Raw genomic sequence first — 23,086 nt, forward strand, 5'->3', positions numbered from 1 at the left:
CAGGCCTGAGCCACCACGCCTGGCCCAAGCATGTGTTTCTGATTTTTTCACAGGTGGGGCCTTGCGGACCCTGGAAAGGCTGCCCTTCCTGGGGCTGGCCAGTTCCTACTGGAGAGAGTGCCTGCCTTTCAAATGCCAACCAACCAATCCAGAGCCCCTACTGCACCACCTCCTTCACTGAGCTCTCACACTGTTGCAGGACTTCTCCTTAGTTCAGCTAAAGATGGAGTCCTTATCACACAGGCACGAAAATTGAGGCTTGCAGACAATTGAAGAGTGAGAAAAACGGGGTTTATTGGGCAAAAAGAAAAAAATGGGAAAGAGAGACTTTTAGCAAAGCAAGAGAGTGTTCTTCCTGCCTGTGGGCTTCCCGCCTCGCAGATTGAATTCCAGGTTCCACACAGGAAGAGGAGGGGCCAAGCTCCTCCCCTCCGCAAACTGCGTGAACTACTATGGCTCCGCTCCAGTACGCAGGTAGGTCCGAGGCTCTGCCAGGGAGCCCTTCCCACCTGGCTGCCTCATCAGGGCTCTCAGGGCCACTATCCACCTGCACTAATGACTCTAGGGCCAGGTACCAGACAACTAGAGTTGGCCCTTATGCCCCGGAGCCTGCCGAAAGTATTCAGACTCACCAATCCTACTCCTGCTTATCCTGCCTTGCCCATTCCTATTCAAAAACCACAGTCAAGCCTCTTGTTCACATTTGCCCTGCTCCTTCTGCTTCTTGACCCACCACGGTGCTTCCCAGCGTAGCCACTTGTGGCATAGTGTGTTTCTTTTTCTATCTTTTTTTTTTTTTTTTTGAGACACAGTCTTGCTCTATGGCCCAGGCTGCCAGGCTGGAGTGCAGTGGCCCGATCTCAGCTCACTGCAACCTCTGGCTCTCGGATTCAAGCGATTCTCCTGCCTCAGCCTCCCGAGTAGCTGGGATTACAGGCGCCCGCCACCACACCCGGCTAATTTTTGTGTTTTTAGTAGAGACAGGGTTTCACCATGTTGGCCAGGCTGGTCTCAAACTCCTGATCTCAAGTCATCCACCTGCCTCGGCCTCCCAAAGTGCTGGGATTACAGGCGTGAGCCACCGCGCCTGGCAGCTTTTGGTTCTTTTATCTCTGTAGTCTTTTTTAACCTAAATAACCCCTTTGGTGATTTTAATTTTAAAATATGTCCACAATGCTTTTTCCCTTCCTTCCTTCCTTCCTTCTTTCCTTCCTTCCTTCCTTCCTTCCTTCCTTCCTTCCTTCCTTCCTTCCTTTCTTTCCTTCCTTCCTTCCTTCCTTCTTTCTTCTCTTTCCTTCTTTCTTTTTTCTTTCTTTCTTCTCTCTTTCCTTCTTTCTTTCTTTTCATTTCTTTCTTTCTCTCTCTCCTCTCTCTCTTTCCCTTCCTCCCTTCCTCTCTCTCTTTCTTTCTCTCACTCTCTCCTCTCTCTTTTTCCCTTCCTCCCTTCCTCCCTTTCTCTCTCTCTCTCCCTCTCTCCCTCTCCCTCTCCCCCCTCTCTCCCTCTCCCCCCTCTCTCCCTCTCCCCCCCTCTCTCCCTCTCCCCCTCTCTCTCCCTCTCTCTCCCTCTCTCTCCTTCTCTCTCCTTCTCTCTCCCTCTTTCTCTCTCTCTCTCTCTTTCGTGACAGGGTCTCACTCTATCGCCCAGGCCGGAGTTCAGTGGCATGTGCCATGATCTCAGCTTATGGCAACCTGTTCCTCCCGGGTTCAAATAATTCTCCTGCCTCAGCCTCCTGAGTAGCTGGGATTACAGGCATGCACCACCACACCTGGCTACCTGGCTAATTTTTATAATTTTAGTAGAGAGGGGTTTCACAGTGTTGGCCAGGCTGGTGTGAAACTCCTGGCCTCAAGTGATCCGCCTCAGCTTCCCAAAGTGCTGGGATTACAGGTGTGAGCCACCGCACCAGGCCCCACAAATGCTTTGACTCTCTGCATTCAAAAGACACAGCTTCCCCTTGAGTGTGGGCTGTACTTAGTGAGTCACTTCTAATAACTAGAATCTGGCAAAAGTAAAAGCCTGTGCCTTCCGGGACTAGGTCATAAAAAGCATGTGGCTTTCCCCTTGATTTCTCTTGGGCCACCTTGTGAGCTGTTGTTTACTGGTGTTTTAAGTGTTGGAGTAACTTATTACTCAGCAATAGATAACTGAGACAGTGTCCATTTAACTCACTCCTTTACCATATTTCCTGTGAACCAGAAATTAAATGTAGAGGCTAGATTAGTTTCAGGTTAAACATTTTTGACAAGAATATTTATAGACTGTCTTAAGAACTGTCACAATAAATCAGGAGGTACATGCTAGATACTCTACTATTCGTGGTGTTAAGTTTGATCACTTGGTTCCATTACTAAATATCTCATACCATGTGGTAGAGTAGATTATTGCCCAGAAATCCTCCCTGGCCCATCCAGTTCTCATAAGAGGGGTGTTTTTCCGATCTCACTGCTACTTGGCTCAGCCATGGGACTTGCTTTGGCCAATAGGATATTAGTATACATGATGCAAGTTGAGGCTTGAAGCATGCTAGTGTGCTTGGGCCTGCCTTCCTGTGTCTGCCATTACCACGAGAAGGGCTTCTCCCAGACAGCTGTCCTCCCCTGAACCTGAGCCCCAGCCAGAGTCATCCCTTGAAGCAGCACTGTCCAGCCAAGCCCAGTCTACATCAGCTGGCCTCCAGATCTGTGAAAATAAATAATGTTGTTTTCAGGCACTTCATTTTGGGTTGGTGTTTTTAGGCAGCACGCACAGCCAAACGAGATTGCTGCTACATTCACCAGCCTGCTTTTCTCAGAGAATCAGCCTGCTGGTCCATAGGTGTGGGCATGCAGCTGCCATGTTTAGACAGCAAGATCCTGCCCCCGAGACCATGGTGGATCAGACTAGGGTGGGCACCTGATGTAAGTTAGACCTTTGATTTAGGGTGACAGTAAACTAGCTAGTGTGCGGGAATAGTAACAGATAAATGCAGGAGCCGTGGGTTGGCCATATTCTGCTAGGGAAGCAGGTCTAATATGAGAAGAAACAATGAAGAAGATGAAAATTAGGGAGGGTCCTGCCAATGTTTTAGGTTCCGGCTCCCATCCCTTTCAGAGGCCCAGATCCACCCTGACCTTCAGTTCTAGCAAACTCCATCCTTAAAATTGTCCCTTTTACATTTCAGATAATGTCACTTGTCAACTGAGGAATGACAAGGTTCATAAACCTAGAAAGAAGAGCTTTCTTCTCATAAAGGGCTGCAGCCTGCAGGGCAGCCATTGTGACAGGCTGAGAAGCAGAGCCTCCAGCCAGAAGCCAGAAACAGACCCTTCCAGGGGCAGAAGAACAAGACAGGAATTTATGCTGAATGAGGTACCAAATACACACATTTGATAAGCTATGGGAGGAGCATTGAATATTGATGAGAAGAGACATAGGCACATGTGCAGTCGAGCTCCATGCCTCTCCCTGGGACCTGTGTTCAAAAAATGGCAGGGTTAGCACGATCCGAGGGTGGAGTTTTCAGGCCTCTGACATCAAAAGATGAGTCAGAGGACATGAAAATCCTCACTGTGCATCCTTCAGAGATCTGCCAGAACGACTTCGTGGCCAGCAGTCTCTTATCTAACTACTCCGCAGCTAGTAGTCCTCTTAAGCAAGGATGCCGGTCAGTTATTTTGTCCAGACCACATGAGGGCAGGGCAGCATTAGGTGGCTGGTTGATACCAGGAGTGAAGCCTCTTTCCCAAGGGTTGGTTTCTGTTTAGACCCCTAGGAAGGAAAGCCTCATGGTCGTTATCCAGGGCATCGGGGTATAATGAGGCGTGTCCAACCTTCCATACCATCATGGTCAGGAACTCAGTTTTCAAGGTTTCTCTGGGGTCCCCTTGGCCAGGAGGGAGTCTGGAGACCGTCAGTTGCTTAGGAGGCTTAGAATTTCACTTTTATTTCTCATACTGGATTTCTAGCAACTTTTAAAAAATTTTTTGAGACAGGTTCTCACTGTGTTACCCAGGCTGGAGTGCAGTGGCTCGGTCTCCAGTGACGCAAGCTCCCTGCAACCTCTGCCTCCCAGGTTCAAGCGATTCTTATGCCTCAGCCTCTCCAGTAGCTGGGATTACAGGCATGTGTCACTATACCTGACTAATTTTTGTATTTTTTAGTAGAGACAGGGTTTCACCATGTTGGCCAGGCTGGTCTCGAACTCCTGACCTCAAGTGATCCACCCACCTTGGCCTCCCAAAGTGCTGGGATTACAGGCATGAGCCACCGCGCCCTGCCTATATTTGCAATTTAAGATTCGTAATACACATGCCTGAACCAACTTCATACAGGTATGCCCCTGACCAGACCTATATTAATTTCTTGTGGCTGTCATAACAAATGACCAGAAGCTTGGTGGATTCAAACAACAGAAACGTATTCTTTCACAGTTCTGAAGACCGCAAGTCTGGCAGGGTGTGACCCCTCTGAAGACTCTAGGGGAGTGTATTATTCTGATCTCACATTGCTATAAACAACTGCCTGTGGCTGAGTGCAGTGGCTCACACCTGTAATCCCAGCACTTTGGGAGGCCTAGGTGGGCGGATCACTTGAGGTCAGAAGTTCGAGACCAGCCTGGCCAAGATGGTGAAACCCCATCTCTACTAAAAATACAAAAAAAAAAAAAAATTAGCTGGGTGCAGTGGTGCATGCCTGTAATCCCAGCTACTCGGGAGGCTGAGGCAGGAGAATCGCTTGAACCCAGGAGGCAGAGGTTACAGTGAGCTGAGATCATGCCATTGTACTCCAGCCTGGACAACAAGAGTGAAACTCTGTCTCAAAAGAAAAGAAAAGAACTACCTGAGACTGGGTAATTTATGAAGAAAAGAGGTTTAATTGACTGACAGTTCCACAGGCTGTAGAGGAAGCATGGCTGGAAGGCCTCAGGAGACCTACAATCATGGTGGAAGGGGAAGGGGAAGCTGGCACATCTTCACCTGGCTGGAGCAGGAGAAGAGAGAGGGAAGGGGGAGGTGCCACACACTCTAAACAACCAGATCTTGAGAACTCATGATGAGGAGAACAGCAAAGGGGAAGTCCACTCCCCCACCCCCATGATCCAATCACCTCCCACCAGGCCCCTCCTCCAACACTGAGGCTGACAATTTGACAGGAGATTTGGGTGGGGCACAGAACCAAACCATATCAAGGAGAATCCCTTCTTGCCTCTTCTGGCTTCTGGAGGATCCACGTGTTCCTTGGCTTTTGGCCGCATCACTCCAATCTCTGTCCCCCTCCGTGGGCTGCATCATCTTCTGTCTTTTACAAGGACACTTCTTGAATTTAGGGCCCACCCAGATCATCCAGGAAGATCCCATCTCAAGATGCTTGACTTAATCACATCCGCAAAGACCCTTTTTCCTAATAAGCTCACATTAATGAATTCTGGGTATTAGGGCAAGCACCTCATACCTCAGGCAGGATTCTTGCCAGGCCTCAGTCAGAATACCCTCAAAACTTGGTGCATCTACCAGGAGCGGGGGCTCATGCCTGTAATCCCAACACTTTGGGAGGCTGAGGCAGACAGATCACTAGAGATTGGGAGTTCGAGACCAGCCTGGCCAACATAGTGAAACCCCGTCTCTACAAAAAATACAAAGATTAGCTAGGCATCGTGGCATATGCCTATCATCCCAGCTACTCAGGAGTTTGAGGCATGAGAATGGCTTGAACCTGGGAGGCAGGTTGCAGTGAGCCAAGATGTTGCCACTGCACTGCAGCCTGGGTGACAGAGTGAGACTCCGTCTCAAAAAAAAGAAAAAAAAATTGGTGCGTTATATCGATTCCAAACATATAGCATTTTAAATATCCACAAAAGTTGTGTGTGGTCTGAAAAATAAGAAAAAGCAAGATTCAAACAAGTTTTAAATTCGTTCATATTGAAAGGAACAAGGATTTACATATTTATGGATCCCTATTAAAGTCAAAGGTGTTTGAATTAAGCAAAGTGTATAACTGAAGTGTAGCAACATAGGCCACGCTAACACTTCTTCAGGTTATGGGGGTGGGTCATTGACAAAGCAACTGTAGAAAGGGCTCTGCATGACGAATGGCAGTGGGAAGAGTCATTCGAGATCCCTGCAGCATTGGGACTCCCGTTTGCCTACAGTCCCCGACCTTAGTGGCCTTAATTAACCAGCATGGTAACTATCCTTTTTTTTTTCTTCCAGACCGAGTCTCGCTCTGTCCCCCAGGCTGGAGTGCGGTGGTGTCATCTCGGCTCACTGCAGCCTCCACCTCCCAGGTTCAAGTGATTCTCCTGCCTCAGCCTCTGGAGCAGCTGGGGTTACAGGTGTGCACCACCACACCAGGCTAATTTTTGTATTTTTAGTAGAGATGGGGTTTTGCCATGTGGGCCAGACTGGTCTCAAAACTCGTGACCTCAGATGATCCACCCACCATGGCCTCCCAAAATGCTGGGATTACCAGTATCATGAAATGCAGGTGAGCCACCGCACCCAGCCATCTCTCTTTTTACTACTCAGCAACCTTGGCACACGCCACCATGCCTGAAGAATTGTTTTAAGTCATTTTTTGCAGAGATGGGTGGGGTCTAGCTATGTTTCCCAGGCTGGTTTCCAAGTCTTGGCCTCCAGTGATCCTTCCACCTCAGCCTCCCAAAGTGCTGGGATTACAGGCATGAACCACCATAACCAGACAGGTATGTATCTTTTGGTTGGAGAAGATTTATAATTAAGTACTGAAAACTTGTGAGACTCAAAACCATACCATAGTATTAATATGAAATTTGTTTAAATAGGGATATGTGCATTTTTGGTATTTTATGTTCTTAATATAGTTAAGGGAATTTGGCCTGTTAGAAAGGTCAGACATGTAACATAAAGTTAAAAGGTATGAGTAAATAGTTAATTTAGACTTGTGATTTAAGGATGAAGTCTCATTTTATTTACCATATTGAAATGCTCAGGAGAGAATTTGTTTTTCTTCCTTTGCAAATTTAATGTATTAGATTTCCTATAATTATTTAGTATTCGGGAATTTTTGTTGTTAATTCAGACAGCAAAAGTACTCTAAAAGGAAATCAGTTACATTAAATTTATAAATGTTGTTGAAAAGGTTTGAAGATGGTTAATTAACTAAGTTAGGCTGGGCGCAGTGGCTCACACTTATCATCCTAGCAAGTTGGGAGGCTAAGGCGGGCAGATCGCTTGAGTTCAGGAGTTGGAGACCAGTCTGGGCAACATGGTGAAACCCCATCTCTACAGAAAATAAAAAAATTAGCCAGACATGGTGGTGAGTGCCTGTAGTCCCAGCTACTTAGGGGGCTGAGGTGAAAGGATCACTCGAGCCCAGGAGGTTGAGGCTGCAGTGAGCCAAGATCACACCACTGACTCCAGCCTGGGTGACAAAGTGAGACCTTGTCTCAAAAAAAAAAAAAAATCTTTTCTTTTTTAATTAACTAAGTTAGTAAATAAGACCAAGTAATATCCAAAGACCTCTTAAAACAGATTCCTGAGTATCCTAGATGTATAAGAAAAATGAGATCTATAACCTAAACTTTAATGACTAATGAAAGAATACACATTTAGGATTTGTACATTTAATATGTTGAAAATCAAAACATAAAGCCAAAATGAACATCTGCATAGTTCCTCTGTACCTACAAGCTACCCTCAAGGATACCAAAAACCTCGTTTTAACAAATCCATGCCATCCCTTGTCCATTTCTGGCTGCCAATGTATTGAATGCTTTTTAAGGTCCAACTACAATGCACCAAGTTAAAATGTTTTTTTAATTCCTACCTTTCTGTAATTCAGATCACATGTTACACTGCCCTGCTCTAAACCACCATTTTACTTGATTTAAAACTATTATGTGAACTCTAAGTGCTTTGCTTGAGTTGTCATGGTTTGTGAAATGTGTTAAGTCATGGTAGTTAAGCGGCAGAGCTCTGAGCTCTGGAGCAGACTGCTTGCGTGCAAATCAGAGCTCTGCTGCTGTGCTTAACTCTCCATGCCTCTTTGCTCATCTGTAAAAGGGGGTAGAAATTGTGTCTACTGCACACAAACTATTTTAAGGATTAAACTGTATGACTAACAGATTAAATTGTATGTTAAGTGCTTAGAACAATGCCTGGTACTTGGTAAACATTCAATCAATAAATAAGATACTATCATGTTTGTGAACTTCAGTGTTCCTAAACTGTACCATGACATTGCAAGCTCATTGTGCAAAGAGATCAGTCTTACTGAGTTGAATATAGAGGCGGGATTTCTCAGTCTCTGCAGCAAGGTGGCTGGGTTCAAAGAAATGGATTCTGGATCCAATGCTTATTCAAACAGCAGCCTTGGTGAGCTGACTAGAAAAACAATCCCCTTAGTCATCAATTAATTTTTCTATCTACAAAGCAAGATGACAAAGGGCAGCAATGTGGAGGAAGGTATCTCTTATCTCTGTTCCAAACGAGAGCTTTCCTAAAATTTGATGGACAGTGTGATGGGTAATATTATGTATCACTTTGGCTAGGCTATGGTGTCCAGTAGTTTGGTCAAACACGAGTCTGGTTGTTGCTGTGAAGTTAATTTGTAGATGTGATTAACATTTAAATCAGTTGACTTTAAATAAAGGAGATTTTTACCCTTGATAACGTAGGTGACCCTCATCCAATCAGTTGGCCTCAAGAGCGAAGCCTGAGGCTTCACTGAGAATAAGGAATTCTGCTTCAAGACTGTAATATAGAAATCCTGCCTGAGTTTTCAGCCTGCCAACCTGCCCTACAGATTTCAGACTTGCCAAGTTCCATAGTTGCATAAGCCAGTTCCTTAAAATAAATCTCTATCTATGTTAGTCTGCTAGGGCTACCATACAAAGTACCACAAACTGGGTGGCTTAAACAACAGAATTTTATTCTTTCACAGTTCTGGAGGCCAGAAGTCCAAGATCAAGGTGCTGGCAGGGCTGGTGTCTGTTGAGGCCTTTCTTCTTGACTTGCAGATACTTGCTTCTCGCTGTGTCCTCACATGGCCTTTCTTCTGTGTACCTGCAGAGCAAGAGATCTCTTGGTGCCTCTTCCTCTTCTTACAAGGACCGCAGTCCTGTTGGGTTAGAGCCCCACCCTTAGGATTTCATTTACTCTTAATCACGCCCCTCAGGGCCCTATCTCCAAATACAAACACACTGGGGTTAGGGCTTCAACCTATGAATTTGGGGAGGACACAGTCCAGGGCGGAACTCTATCCATCTGTCTGTCTGTCTGTCTGTGTCTATCTCCCTATCTGTCTGTCTGTCTCTGTCTGTCATCTATCTATGTATCTTCTGTCTGTCTGTCTTTCTATACATGTATCTATCTATCCATCCATCCTATTTGTTCTGTTTCTCTGAAGGCCCTTAATTGACACAGCAGAATGAAATATGACACTTCATCATATACAGTCATTCAGCTGACTCCAGTGCTGGCCTTTATAATCCATCCAACCTATTGGTTGTTTAATGTAAGCGGTTACACCTAGATTTTCTTTTTTTTTTTTTTTTTTGAGACAGAGTCTTGTTCTATTGCCCAGGCTGGAGTGCAGTGGCATGGTCTCAGCTCACTGCAACCTCCACCTCCCAGATTCAAGCAATTCTCCTGCCTCAGTTTCCCGAGTAGCTGGGATTACAGGTGCATGCCACCACACCCAGCTAATTTTTTGTATTTTTTAGTAGAGACGGGGTTTCACCATGTTGCCCAGGCTGGTCTCGAATTCTTGAGCTCAGGCAATCCACCCGCCTTGGCCTCCCAAAGTGCTAGGATTACAGGCGTGAGCCATTGCACCTGGCCTGGTTGCACCTAGATTTTCTAAAAATAAAAGCTTAACTCCTCCCCTGAAACTACTTGAGTACTTTTTTTTTTTTTTGAGACGGAGTCTTGCTCTGTCGCCCAAGCTGGAGTGCAGTGGCGTGATCTAGGCTCACTGCAAGCTCTACCTCCTGGGTTCACGCCATTCTCCTCCCTCAGCCTCCCAAGTAGCTGGGACTACAGGCGCCCGCCACCACGCCCAGCTAATTTTTTTGTGTTTTTAGCAGAGACAGGGTTTCACCGTGTTAGCCAGGATGGTCTCGATCTCCTGACCTCATGATCCACCCACCTCGGCCTCCCGAAGTGCTGGGATTACAGGCATGAGCCAACACACCTGGCCTTTTTTTTTTTGTTTGAGACAGAGTCTCGCTCTGTCACCCAGGCTGGAGTGCAGTGGTACAATCTCGGCTCACTGCAACCTCCGCCTCCCAGGTTCAACTGATCCTCCCACCTCAGCCTCCTGAGTAGCTGGGTCTACAGGCACACCCACCACGCCCAGCTAATTTTTGTATTTTTAGTAGAGATAGGGTTTCGCCATGTTGGCCAGGCTGGTCTCGAACTCCTGACCTCAGGTGATCCACCCACCTCAGCCTCCCAGAGTGCTGGGATTACAGGTATGAACCACCGTGCCCGGCTCTTGAGTAAATTCTTGAAATAAAAAGTAAAGTATCATAAACTACTGTTTAATATTTCTGCTGACAAAGTAGCTTTGAAATCAACAGCGTTACAGGTTTTTGTTTATTTGTTGTTTGTGAGACAGGGTCTTGCTCTGTTGTACAGGCGGGAGTGCAGTGGTGTGAGCATGGCTCACTGCATCCTTGAGCTCCTGGGCTCAATGTGCCTGTGCCGGGCCTTGCATTACTGTTGTTGTTGTTGTTCCTAATTGCCAGGCCTGTGAATATTGCATTACAGTTCTATGAATTAAAATGAAGAGGCCAGGCGCAGTGGCTCAGGCCTGTAATCCTAGCACTTTGGGAGGCTGAGGCAGGTGGATTGCCTGAGCTTAGGAGTTCAAAACCAGCCTGGGCAACATGGTGAAACTCCATCTCTACTAAAAATACAAAAAATTAGCTGGGTGTGGTGGCACGCACCTGTAATCCCACCTACTCAGAGGCTGAGGCAGGAGAATCGCTTGAACCTGGGAGGCGGAGGTTGCAGTGAGCCGAGATTGTGCCACTGCACTCCAGCCTGGGCGACAGAGCGAAATTCTGTCCCCAAAAAATAAAAAAATGAAAAAATAAAATTTTAAAAATAAAAATAAAATGAAGACATGTTTATAGCAGCTCTATTTGTAATTGCCCCTAACTGGAAACAACTCAGACATCTCTCAGTGAACGAATGGATAAACAAATCTTAGTAACCCATATAATGAAATACTACTCAGATTTTCTTTCTTTTTTTTTTCTTTTTTTCTTTTTTTTTTTTTTTTGAGACGGAGTCTTGCTCTGTTGCCCAGGCTGGAGTGTAGTGGTGCGATCTCGGCTCACTGCAACCTCTGCCCTCTGAGTTCAAGCAATTCTCCTGCCTCATCCTCCCAAGTAACTGGGATTACAGACGCCGGCCACCGTGCCCGGCTAATTTTTTTTTTTCTTGTATTTTTAGTAGAGACAGGGTTTCACCATCTTGGCCAGGCTGATCTTGAACTCCTGATCTCGTGATCCACCCGCCTCGGCCTCCCAAAGTGCTGGGATTACAGGCATGAGCCACCGCGCCTGGCCTACTCAGATATTTTTTTAAAAGTATTCATACATCTTAAAACATGAATGAATAAGTGAAAGAGGTCAGTCTCAAAAGGTTACCACCTACCTGACTCCATTGATACGTCACTCTGAAAGGTGACCCTGCAGGAAGGGAAACCTGGTGATTGTGAATGGCTGAGGTCGGGGGTGGGTTTGACAGCAAAAACGTACTTGAGGGGGTTTTCTGAGGGAAGGAAATTGCTCTGTGTCCTGATTTTGGTGGTGGATACATATATCTGTACTATCTATACACCTGTTAAACTCACAGAACTGTACACCAAACTTGAAAGTCAATTTTGGCTGGGCACAATGGCTCACACCTGTAATCCAAAACTTTGGAGGCCAAAGCAGGAGGATTGCTTGAGCCTTGGAGTTTGAGATCAGCCTGGGCAACATAGTGAGACCATTTTATAGTATGCAAATTAAAATAATGTAAAATGCAGAAATAGACAAATATTATATAACATAGACAATAATTTCTTTTCTTTTCTTTCCTTTTTTTAATTTTTGAGACAGGGTCTCGCTCTCCTGCCCAGGCTGGAATGCAATGGCACAATCACTGCTCACTTGCAGCCTCCATCTCCCAGACCTAAGCTCTCCTTCTACCTCAGCCTCCTGAGTAGATGGGACCAGAGGCATGTGCCACTGTGCCCGGCTGATTTTTGTATTTTTTTGGCGAGACAGGGTCTCCCTATGTTGCCCAGGCTGAGCTGGGGCTCCTGGGCTCAAGCGATCCTTCTGTTTCGGCCTCCCAAAGTGTTGGGATTACAGGTGTGAACCCACCACGTTTGACAATAATTTCTTGTTCTTTTTTCTCCAGGTATTTGCTGCTCAGAATTGGCAAATAGAGGAATAAACTCTGTTACCAAATTCCTTAATTTCAGGAGAACCCATGAAAGGAGTATCATCCAATCAGGTGGGTTTTTTCCACTAAAACAACAGAGAAGTTCTTCCTGAAATCATAACCTGGGGGCATAAGTTTTAATTCAAATTCTTGCAAGTGATGTCATGATGTCAGGGTGAGACCACAGAGTACAGGGAAACCGCATCCTTTTGGAAACAGCAATGTCTACTAGTGCAGAGAGAGCTGCTTTGAAGAAAGGGCAGAAAGGGAGAGCACGATTTCACTAATGCAAACGGCAGTGAAGTGCAAAGGAGGGCAGCCTCCGGCTCCTTCCAGTTGGGAGCGAGCAAAGCACTGGAAAGGGCAAAATGAGGCACAATCACCATCATCAAACCCCTTTATCAAGTTCTTTTTTTTTTTTTAAGGCCGGGTCTCACTCTTGTTGCCTAGGCTGGAGTACAGTGGTGCGATCTCAGCTCACTGCAATCTCCACCTCCTGGGTTCAAGTGATTCTCCTGCCTCAGCCTCCCAAGTAGCTGGGATTACAGGCATGTGCCACCATGCTCAGCTAATTTCGTATTTTTAGTAGAGATGGGTTTTCACCATGTTGGTCAGGCTGGCCTCAAACTCCTGACTTCTGGCATGAGCCACTGTGCCCAGCATCAAGTTCTTTTTCTTTTCTCCCTGACTAGCTCTTAGTCTCAATGATCAAACTCCTCAGGCATGTTAAGTGGGTAAAGAGTATTTTATTTTGGCATTTGAATCTAAAATCATAGGCTTTCTTGAACAACCTTGCTTTCTTATTTCAAAGGTGAAACCCTACTCTACTGTTCCGGAAAGTTTGGAAATGTCTCATTTCTTTTTAGAGATGAGGTCTATTTTTATAGGAAAATGAATCCATCCTGTCACCTTTTAGGATACTATTTGCATTAATTATGTACTGCTGCAGAACAAATGTCCCTAAAACTTAGTAGCTTAAAACAACAATGTATTGTTCCTCACGATTCTGCTGGTCTCATCTGGGCTCACTGAGACTGGAGGGTCTAGATGACTTCATTCCTATGTCTGGGGCCTTGGTACAGCTGCCGGCTGGACTTTTCATCCGTGGACCCTGGGTGTTCCAAGTGATTAAAAATGGAATTTACAATACTTCTTAAGGCCTATTCTCAGAGGCTTCACAATGTCACTTCTGCTGCATTTTATTGGTTACAACAAGTCTCAAGGCCAGCTCAGAGTCAAGGGATAGAGAAATAGGTCCCACCTCTTGATTTCGGGAGAAGCAGCAAAGTCACATTGCAAAGGAGTGAGGACACAGGGACACTATTCACTAGGGGCCATGGCTGTAACAGTCTACCATACAATTGTTAGTGATGTTTAAAGTGGATATAAACATTGATTAAATTGCTCTTGGCTCTGAACCATTAGTAAACTGGATGAAATTCGGCTAAAGATGAATTTTGGATTGGAAGCCCACATTCAGCTCAGCTTTAATGTAGTTAACCCTTATTTCAAAACTATGAGAAATTACTTATAGATGAGTCAGAGAACCTTGACCCCCTGTTTTTTTATGGGGATTTTAACTATCAACTTAGAGAAAAGTAATGTGGGATCCATTAGCTATTTTAAATGCACTATTATTCTCTAATTGTAGGTCAACTCTCTTTGGTTTCCTAATGTCTAAACATTTCACAATTTATGGAATTATGAAAGGATCCAGCTCCCCAGAGGATGTGAGCACATCTGAACACAATTATGCACTGCAGCCAGACAACTGTTAGCTTTCTGGGGCAAAAGACACAGAGAAAGACCAGGATAATCCTTGTGCGTGCAGCTCAGATTTGGCCCCTGTCGCCACACGCTGCCAAGCCTGTCACATTCTGGCAATAAGGAGCAATGCTTGGATGGGGACCAGGACCATGCTGACATCTGACCACCTCTGCAGTCTGGGCGAATTCCAAGAAATCCCTCAGAAGAAAGTGCCATGCAGAAATATCCTGGCGGGGGAACTGCCCACACAGCTGTGCCAGTTATTCACCCTCGCCAGATTCTTCATGCTCTTTCCCACTTCAAGGCCCTTGCATTAGCTGTTCTCCCTGACCATGCACTTGACTCTCAAGAACATTTAGGTAAGTCATGTCCTTACCTAAGCTTAGGGGCTTAAGCGAGGGACTTGGTGTCCTGGAAGTACTCCCTAGCTCGCCACTCTATGTAGCACCCAGTCCAGATCTTCAGCCTCCATCCATCCTTTGAGAATGTTTTATCCTCTGATCCCTTGAGATATGGGCCCTTTCTGTGACCCACCAGCCTGTGCCAGAGCCCAGGGCCTTAATTCTGGAGGAGACATGATGCTACCCTGGGAACAGGTCCTTCCGGGACACGAGGCAGCTGGAGAGCTCTGGGTGTGACAGAGGAATACGGAAACAGGGAGAAGAAACAAAGAAACAGAGAAATGAGGAAACGAGGAAGGAAAAGGGTGGCTCCTGGAGACAAATGTTTCCTTCTCCACACTTCTGCTGATGCTGAGGTGGCCTTTAAAGTGCCAGCAAGGAGGAGCCGGGAGGGGTTTGCACATGTGTTGCTGGGCATGGATGGGGTGGTGTGTGTGCCAGGATGGGAGCCTTCCTGGGCAGTCACTACTGGGTGGGGCGCTCCAGTCAAGACATCAAGACAGACAGCTAAGGCTTTCTCCCAAACCAAAAGACTTGCAAACTTCCCTACAAGTTCTGAGTTTTCTTCTGAAGCTAACTTCTTGGAACTCAATGGCATGAAACCGTCATGCAGTTAAAGCATTTAAGGGCTGTATATGCCCTGGGGGCTGTCAATGTCATAGACACTGTCATTTCTCTCTCCCTGCACAAAAATAACTAAAATGATGAATCCGGCTGGCTCTCCCCTCTCCCTCGCTATCCTCCACCTTTTATGCAGTCCTGCGGACATTCTGATCTGTTTCCTCCTCCCCATCCTCCCCTTCCCTCCCAAGTATACTCTCAGCTCTTCGTGGTCTCTCTCTCCCAACTGCAGCCTCCCCCAAGACTCCATCTTCAGGCCTCCTTCCCTCACCATCTCCAAGGCTGCGGCTCCAGGACACAAGCTGACCACCCTGCCCAACCCGAAGTCCTCGACTGATGCTCAGCGCTTATAGGTTCAAGTCCAGGCTCCCTAGCATAGCACTGAAGTCATGGCTCAGTTTACCCTTCCAAGCCTGTCTCCCCCAAGTCCTGCCCTCCTCCTCTCATCACTGCCAAGTACATCAAGCACTCCCACGTGGCTGGGCTTTAACCCAAGCTGCTCTCTCTTCCCAGAAGGCTCTTCTCTGACTTGCTGCCAAAACACAAAGTCGCTTGGAGGTGAAGGCAAATATTAGTTCAGCTGGCAAGCTCCTCTCCACGTCCTCATCAAAGCCCCCAGCTCCATGAGCTTCTGGGCTGTTCCTGTGGATTTCTGCACTCTCTGTGTTGAAACATCTGTAATGGGTTATAGCTGGGAGTTGGAATGTCTGCCTCCCTTTTCGCTGAGAAGAAGGGGGTCTTTACAGGATCGAACGCTCCCTGGGTTCTGTCTCCTTCCTTTCAATATAGTGAGCAGTTCCTCCCACCTAGTGGGTTCTCCTTAGATGTCTGGGAGGTCATCTATCCAGTGCTGGCTGTTGCAGATCTGTGCAGTTGCTTTTTGAACAGGACCCACATCCGTCTTCCAAAATATCTAAAATTAGGTCTTTGACAGTTCCTGAAAATGTTAGTTATCATATAATCCAGCAACTCCACTCCAAGGTATATAGCCAAAAGAATTGAAATCATATTCCACACAAAAATGTATACCTGAATGCTCATAGCAGCATTATTCACAATAGCCAAGAAATGGAAACCACCCAAATGTCCATCAACCCACAAAGGCATAAGTGAACTGTGATATACCCATACGACAGAATACCGTTTGGCTATAAAAGGAGGGACCGATTCGTGCTACAATGCGGATGGGCCTTGAAAACATGCTAAGTGCAAGACGCCAGTTACAAAAGATCACATATTATGTGATTTCATTCATGTGAAATGTCCAGAAATAGTCAAATTTATAGAGAAAGAAAGCAGATTAGTGGTCGCCAGGAGCTGGGGCAAAGGAGGGCGTGAGCGTGATTGTGAATAGGTATGGCTTTTTAGAGAGGAAAGGGGGTTGTGGTCATGGTCGCACAGCATGTGACTCATGGAGTTTGTGCCCTTGAGAGGAGGGACTGCTGTGGCATGTGAGTTACATATAATTAGGCCTTCAGTGCTGCCAGCATTCTCATCCTTGGAGGGCCAGGTATCTTTTCTGTTGTTTTGTTTTGTTTTGTTTTATGAGATGGAGTCTCACTGTCACCCAGGCTGGAGTGCAATGGTGAGATCTCCGCTCACTGCAATCTCCATCTCCCAGGTTCATGCGATTCTCCTGCCTCAGCCTCCCAAGTAGCTGGGACCACAGGCACCTGCCACCACGCCCAGCTATTTTTTTTTTTTTTTTGGTATTTTTAGTACAGACGGGGTTTCACCATGTTGGCCAGGGTGGTCTCGATTTCCCGACCTCGTGATCTGCCCGCCTCAGCCTCCCAAAGTGCTGGGCTTACAGGCGTTAGCCACCGCGCCCCACCGTATCTTTTCGGTTCTAAGCACAAGACAATTGTCTTGGGAACACCTCCCGGCTCTTGGCCTCAGTATGTTTTCTTTAGCCCTACGTTTCCCCTTTGCTCTCTCCCCGCGTGTGATGGGGGCTGCCTGGGTGGGGCTGTCACAGCGGCAGGTGGGTGAGGAGCCCCTAGGCGCGTCCGGAGGAAGGCTCACCCGGAGGCCGCCTGCAGGCGGCCAGGTGCCAGCCACTGCGGGCCTCTGGGGCCGAAGCCGGCGGATGGTGAGACGCTGGTTGGTCTGCAACACTGCCCAGACCCCGGGCACTCATGTCTAGAAAAAAGCTGACTCGTGACACCAAAGGAGCTCTTTCAAGCTTCCTGCACGCTCTTAGCGCCAGAGCACCCCAGCCGTCCTGGGAGCCCCCGAAGCCAAGCATATTCGAACTCCGAATCCGCTCGATCGCCGGGGACCTGCCATCTGGGTTCGGTTCCCCAAGGTCGCTGCCGACCTTAGACCGCGGGGGTGTGGGGCGCCGGGGAAGGAGACAGAAGGACAGGCGCCGCCCAGGGCCGCGGGGACACTTGGGGCTGCGTCCTGGGTGGGCGCGATGCTCCCCCAGAACGACTGGAGATGGAGAGTGTCGGGGAGGGAAACGGGACCCACGAATTCAGGGCGCTGAGTCGGCGGAATGCGCCCTGACTCCCCCTGGCCGAGAGCCGGCTCAGAATGAAAGAGCGCGGAGTGGGAGGTCTGGGAAATGGCAGTATTTGTATTAGGGAGAGAAGGAAACAGGAGTGGGAGCCGCACGGCTTGGGGAACGCGGGAGATCGCGGATTGCGGGGATAGCGCAGCGCGGCTGCCCGGGGCTGCTGGGAGGGGCCGGACGAGGCCAGGGCGAGCGGGGTAACTGCGGCCGGCCGGACGGCGGCGGTAACCGGCTGCACCGAGGTGGTTCCACCACCGCGCTGGGCGCTTGCGGTTCGTCTGCTCCAACGAAAGCCGCGTCCCACGCTCCCTGCCGCCGCGTGGTTTTGCCTCCTCAGAGGGGCAGCGGCGACCCAGGGGCTGGCGGTGGATGTCAGGAGTGCGCTTTCCTTCTAGGCCTTCTCCCTCATGACTGGTTTTGTTTTTAGATTACAAAAATAACTTATATTATTTAATTAAAAATACATAAAATATATTGTGATAGCGCAGAATAATGGCCCTCCAAGAATGTCCACGGCCTAATGTCTAGAAACTGTTATATGGCAAAATAAATACATAAATAAGGTGGAAGGCCTTTGCAGATGTGATCAAGCTAAGGATTTTTTTATTTTTATTTGATATTGATTGATTGATTGATTGAGACAGTCTTCCTCTGTCTCCCAGGCTGAAGTGCAGTGGCGCGATCCCGGCTCACTGTAACCTCCGCCTCCTGGGTTCAAGCGATTTTCCTGCCTCAGCCTCCCGAGTAGCTGGGATTACAGGCTCCTGCCATCACGCCTGGCTAATTCTCGTATTTTAGTAGAGACAGGGGTTTCACCATGTTGACCAGGCTGATCTCGAATTCCTGACCTCAAGTGATCCGTCTGCCTTGGCTTCCCAAAGTGCTGGGATGACAGATGTGAGCCACAGCGCCTGGCAAACTAAGGATTTTTAGACCGGGGATTACCCTGGATTATCCAGGTGGATACAATGTCCAGTGATCACAGGGGTCCTAGAAGAGGGAGGCAGGGGAGGCAGAGGAGAAGTGAGGGCAGAAGGAGAGGTCAGAGGGATGTGTTTGCTTCGAGGATCAAAGAAGGGGAGCACCGGCCAAGGGATGCGGGCAGCTTCTAGAAGGTGGGAAAGGCAAGGATATGGATTCTCCCTGAGCCTCCAGAAGGAACCCAGTTCTGCAGACACTTTGATGTTAGCCCAGTGTGACCCTATGCATACTTCTGACCTCCAGAACTGTGCAAGAATAATCTGTGTTGTTTTAGGCCCCTCAATCTGTGGCGATTTGTTATAGGAGTCCTAGGAAATACCTGAACACAAACATTTAAAACATAAAGAAGTCACCTGTAATCCACTTCCCAGAATGAACTCATTCAGCAGCCTGAGGAGCAGGGCTGACTGATGAAAACACTTGAAAGGAGGAAGTGCCGTCTTGCTAAGGCTGGTGTGTTCAGAAGAGGACACCGTGAATGATTCTCCTGACTAAGATGGTCCACTAAAAGGAACCAGGGCTCCGTGGAGAAATGGCGACTTCTGGGATTAAGGCTGGAGAGGAATAAGATGAACCCAGAATATATTATTCTGGCAGACAGTGAGGAAGTACCCAGAGAATGGTAGGAACTCATCCAAAGGACAAAAGCTTGAAGGGGCTCTCATTGGGCAAATCTGGAATCTTTTGAGTAACAATCATGTTAGTATTGAATTGTAACTCTTTTTTTTTTCTTTTTGTAGCTGGGATTACAGATGCCTGCCACTATGCCTGGCTGATTTTTGTATTTTTAATAGAGATGGGGTTTTGCCATGTCGGCCAGGCTGGTCTTGAACTCCTGGTCTCAAGTGATTGGCTCACCTCGGCTTCCCAAAGTGCTGAGATTACCGGTGTGAGCTACCACACCCGGCCTATAACTCTTCTTACTTTATTATAAGCACAGTCTAAGAATCCACTAGTACCTACAGGTACAGTAATATAAATGAAAAAGTAAAGAGGGAGAAGAAAACTCTTTCTTATCAACTAATAAACGCAGAAAGATAATGGAATAAGAAAATACCGCTTGGAACTACCATAGTAATGATTATGTCAGGGAGAATCATCAGTGAATGCTAAATTGTGAGAAAAGTTTGAGAAACAGGATTTGTATATGGTCTCAAACTATCGCTGCACGAGGGAGATTCCCAGTAATGACCGAGGGGAAAACAGTCACTTTACTGTGGGGAAACCTGACAAACCTTATTCAAGCGATCAAAGTTAACATCACCAGCAATGGGACAAATAGGCAACACGTGCCTCTGGTGTGCTGCAGCAGGCCTCCATGATGCAATAGCCCTTCATGGTGCTCGTGCTGGCCGTGCAGAACCTGCATTCAATTGTGAGGAAATACCAACACATCAAACAGAGGGACATTTTCTAAAACACTGGCTTCTGCCCTACAAAAATGTCAATGTCATTTTTGACAAAGACTGAGGAACTGTTTCTTACTGAAGAGGACTAAAGAGGCCTGACAACTAAGTGCAGTGTGGATTCTGAATAGTGGGCCAGATGAAAAATGTTTGTTTGTTTGTTGGTTTGTTTTAATTATAAAGGAAGTGAATCATACTAAGGCATAGATGAACCTTGAGGACACTGTGTGCGATGAAATAATCCAGACACGCCAGGCGCGGTGGCTCGTGCCTGTAATCACAGACAGCACTTTCGGAGGCTGAGGCAGGCAGATTGCTTGAGCTCAGGAGTTCCAGACCAGTTTGGGAAACATGGTGAAATCCCACCTATGCAAAAATTAGCTGGGCATGGTGTCCCAAGCTTGCAGTCCCAGCTACTTAGGGGAGGTGGAGGCCGCAGTGAGCTGTGATCAGGCCTCTGCACTCCAGCCTGGGTGACAAAGAGAGACCCTTTCTCAAAAAAAAAAAAAAAGTCCAGGCACGGTGGCTCATGCTTGTAATCCCAGCACTTTGATAGGCCGAGGCGGGTGGATCGCCTGAGGTCAGGAGTTCTAGACCAGCCTGGCCAACATGGTGAAACCCCGTCTCTACTAAAAATATAAAAATTAGCCGGGATTGGTGGTGGGCACCTGTAATCTCAGCTACTTGGGAGGCTGAGGCATGAGAATCACTTGAACCCAGGAGACGGACGTTGCAGTGAGCCAAGATCACACCACTGCACTCCAGCCTGGGCGACAAAGTGAGACTCTGTCTCAAAAAGAAAAACAAAACAAAACAAAAAGTAGAAAAAAAGAGAAATAATCCAGTCACAAAATGACAAATTATCGTGTCATTCCACTTATATGAAGTACCAAGAATAGTCAAATTTATAGAGACAAAAAGTAGATGGAGGGTTACCAGGAGCTTGGAGGAGGGGAAATGGGGACTTCGTGTTTAATGTGTTCAGAGTTTCCGTTTGGGGTAACGGGAGATGGATAATTGTGATGGCTGCATAGCACTGTGAATGTAATCAATGCCATAAGTTGTACTTTTAATGGTTAAAGTGGTAAATCTTACACATATTTTACTATAATAAAAATAATTTCTGAAAAAAAGTCTTCAACTTTCAAATAAATGGGTAGACAATTGACAACATTTACATAAGGTCTGTAGATTATATAATAATGGTATGTCAAGATTAATTTCCTCATCCTGATAAATGTACTGTGGTTATGTAAGAAAATGTCAGCTGGTCCAAAGGTAGTGAGTTATCTCAATTGATTGTTCCCAGACAGTTACAGATCAAACTCCTTCTACTCTTTCCCCGCTTCTCACCACTGCACTTGACTAGTTTTAAGATAAATAAAATGTCTGTGTGTGTGTGTCTGTGTGTATGTATGTGTAAGAAATATACATTGGGGCCGGGCATGGTGGCTTACGCCTATAATCCCAACAGTTTGGAAGGCCAAGGCGGGTGAATCACCTGAGGTCAGGAGTTCGAGACCAGCCTGGCCAACATGGTGAAACCCCGTCTCTACTAAAAATGCAAAAATTAGCTGGGTGTGGTGGCGCATGCCTATAACCCCAGCTACTCTGGAGGCTGAGGCACGAGAATCGCTTGAACCTGGGAGGCGGCGGCTGCAGTGAGCCAAGATCACACCACTGCACTCCAGCCTGGGTGACAGAGCAAGACTTTGTCTCAAAAAAAAAAAAAAAAAGAAATATACATTGAGGTATTTAGGGACAACAAGGCATCATGTCTACAATCCCCTAAATGGTTAGAAAAAGTAATATATACAAGTTATACCTGTATGGGCAGAGAGAAAGAGAAGGGTAAAGCAAATGTGGCAAAATGTTAACATTTGGGGAATGTGGGAAATGTATATGGGAATTTGTACTATTATTCCAACTTTTCTATAAGCTTAAAAGTAAGCAGTTTAAAAAATTAGAAGAGGATCAACCAACTGGAATGGGGCATGCTCTAGAGGAAACAATTCTAAGGCCTTAACATCGAGATGCAGTGAGCTGTGTGGGCAGCCAGGGCTCTGGGATGTCCTAATGAGGCAGGCTCAGGAACAAAGGATGCAGCGTCCCAGCCACACTGACTGGTGGGGCAGAGAGAGGTGAGGAACGTTGGATCAGATGCCCCATCCACTTACAGAGATGGGCCAGGATCCAAGGAGGCATGGTGAGCTGGGTTTGGTTCAGATGGGCATCCATCCAAGGAGTTTCAACGGGAAGGTGTGATGGTTAATACTGAGTGTCAACTTGATTGGATTGAAGGATGCAATATTGATCCTGGGTGTGTCTGTGAAGGTGTTGCCCAAGGAGATTAACATTTGAGTCAGTGAACTGGGAAAGGTAGACCCACCTTTAATGGGGTAGGCAACATCTAATCAGCCGCCAGCGAATATAAAGCAGGCAGAAAAACGTGAAGAGGTGAGACCGGCCTAGCCTCCCAGCCTACATCTTTCTCCCCTGCTGGACACTTCCTGCCCTCAAACATCAGACTCCAAGTTCTTCAGTTTTGGGACTCGGACTGACTCTCCTTGTTCCTCAGCTTGCAGACAGCCTACTGTGGGACCTTGTGATCGTGTAAGTTATTACTTAATAAACTCCCCTTTACATATATATAAAAAATATATATATGTATTTCCTATTAGTTCTGTCCCTCTAAGAGAACTCTGACCAGTACAGAAGGTGAGGTGGAAAAGCCAGGAGACCAGTCCTGTTGCTGGGGGTGGAGGAAAGCATGCTCAGCAGCACCACCCCCATCCTCCGACTGCACACCCAACACGGGAGCATCTCATCAACACAGTGATGAGTGAAGTAAGCTGGACACAAAAGGTCCTTACCATAGGATTCTATTCATGTGAAGCTCACATACAGGCAAACCAAACAGATGGTGATGAAGGTCATATCCATGTCCACAGGGGAGTGGATATTAGCTGGGAAGGGCAGGAGGGAAGTTGGTG

At 46.9% G+C, this 23,086-nt stretch overlaps 1 long non-coding RNA gene across 3 annotated transcripts, besides 2 other annotated features; it reads left to right on the forward strand.

The window, feature by feature from the left end:
- Positions 1-433: 433 nt before the first annotated feature.
- LOC105374651 (uncharacterized) lies at positions 434-21,493 on the forward strand. Of its 3 annotated transcripts, XR_925786.3 has the most exons (5): positions 434-474; positions 3,162-3,349; positions 12,376-12,471; positions 14,051-14,525; positions 15,421-21,493. It is a non-coding gene; the product is annotated as an uncharacterized LOC105374651 (long non-coding RNA). The 3 variants fall into 3 exon arrangements; XR_925783.3 differs by having other exon boundaries at positions 14,051-21,493; XR_925785.2 differs by lacking the exons at positions 434-474; positions 3,162-3,349 and adding an exon at positions 6,644-6,680 and having other exon boundaries at positions 14,051-21,493.
- Positions 17,256-17,305: a silencer, noted in NCBI's record as "silent region_15918". NCBI's record gives its function as "represses an Ori minimal core promoter by ATAC-STARR-seq in GM12878 lymphoblastoid cells {active_cell/tissue: GM12878}" and the evidence as "EXISTENCE:reporter gene assay evidence [ECO:0000049][PMID:35858748]".
- Positions 17,337-18,092: an enhancer, noted in NCBI's record as "H3K4me1 hESC enhancer chr5:10333367-10334122 (GRCh37/hg19 assembly coordinates)". NCBI's record gives its function as "activates a minimal SCP1, AML or CMV promoter by ChIP-STARR-seq in naive and primed H9 embryonic stem cells {active_cell/tissue: H9 hESC(naive and primed)}" and the evidence as "EXISTENCE:reporter gene assay evidence [ECO:0000049][PMID:30033119]".
- Positions 21,494-23,086: the final 1,593 nt, after the last annotated feature.

The sequence above is a fragment of the Homo sapiens genome, chromosome 5 (assembly GCF_000001405.40).
Source record: "Homo sapiens chromosome 5, GRCh38.p14 Primary Assembly".
Classification (NCBI taxonomy): domain Eukaryota; kingdom Metazoa; phylum Chordata; class Mammalia; order Primates; family Hominidae; genus Homo; species Homo sapiens.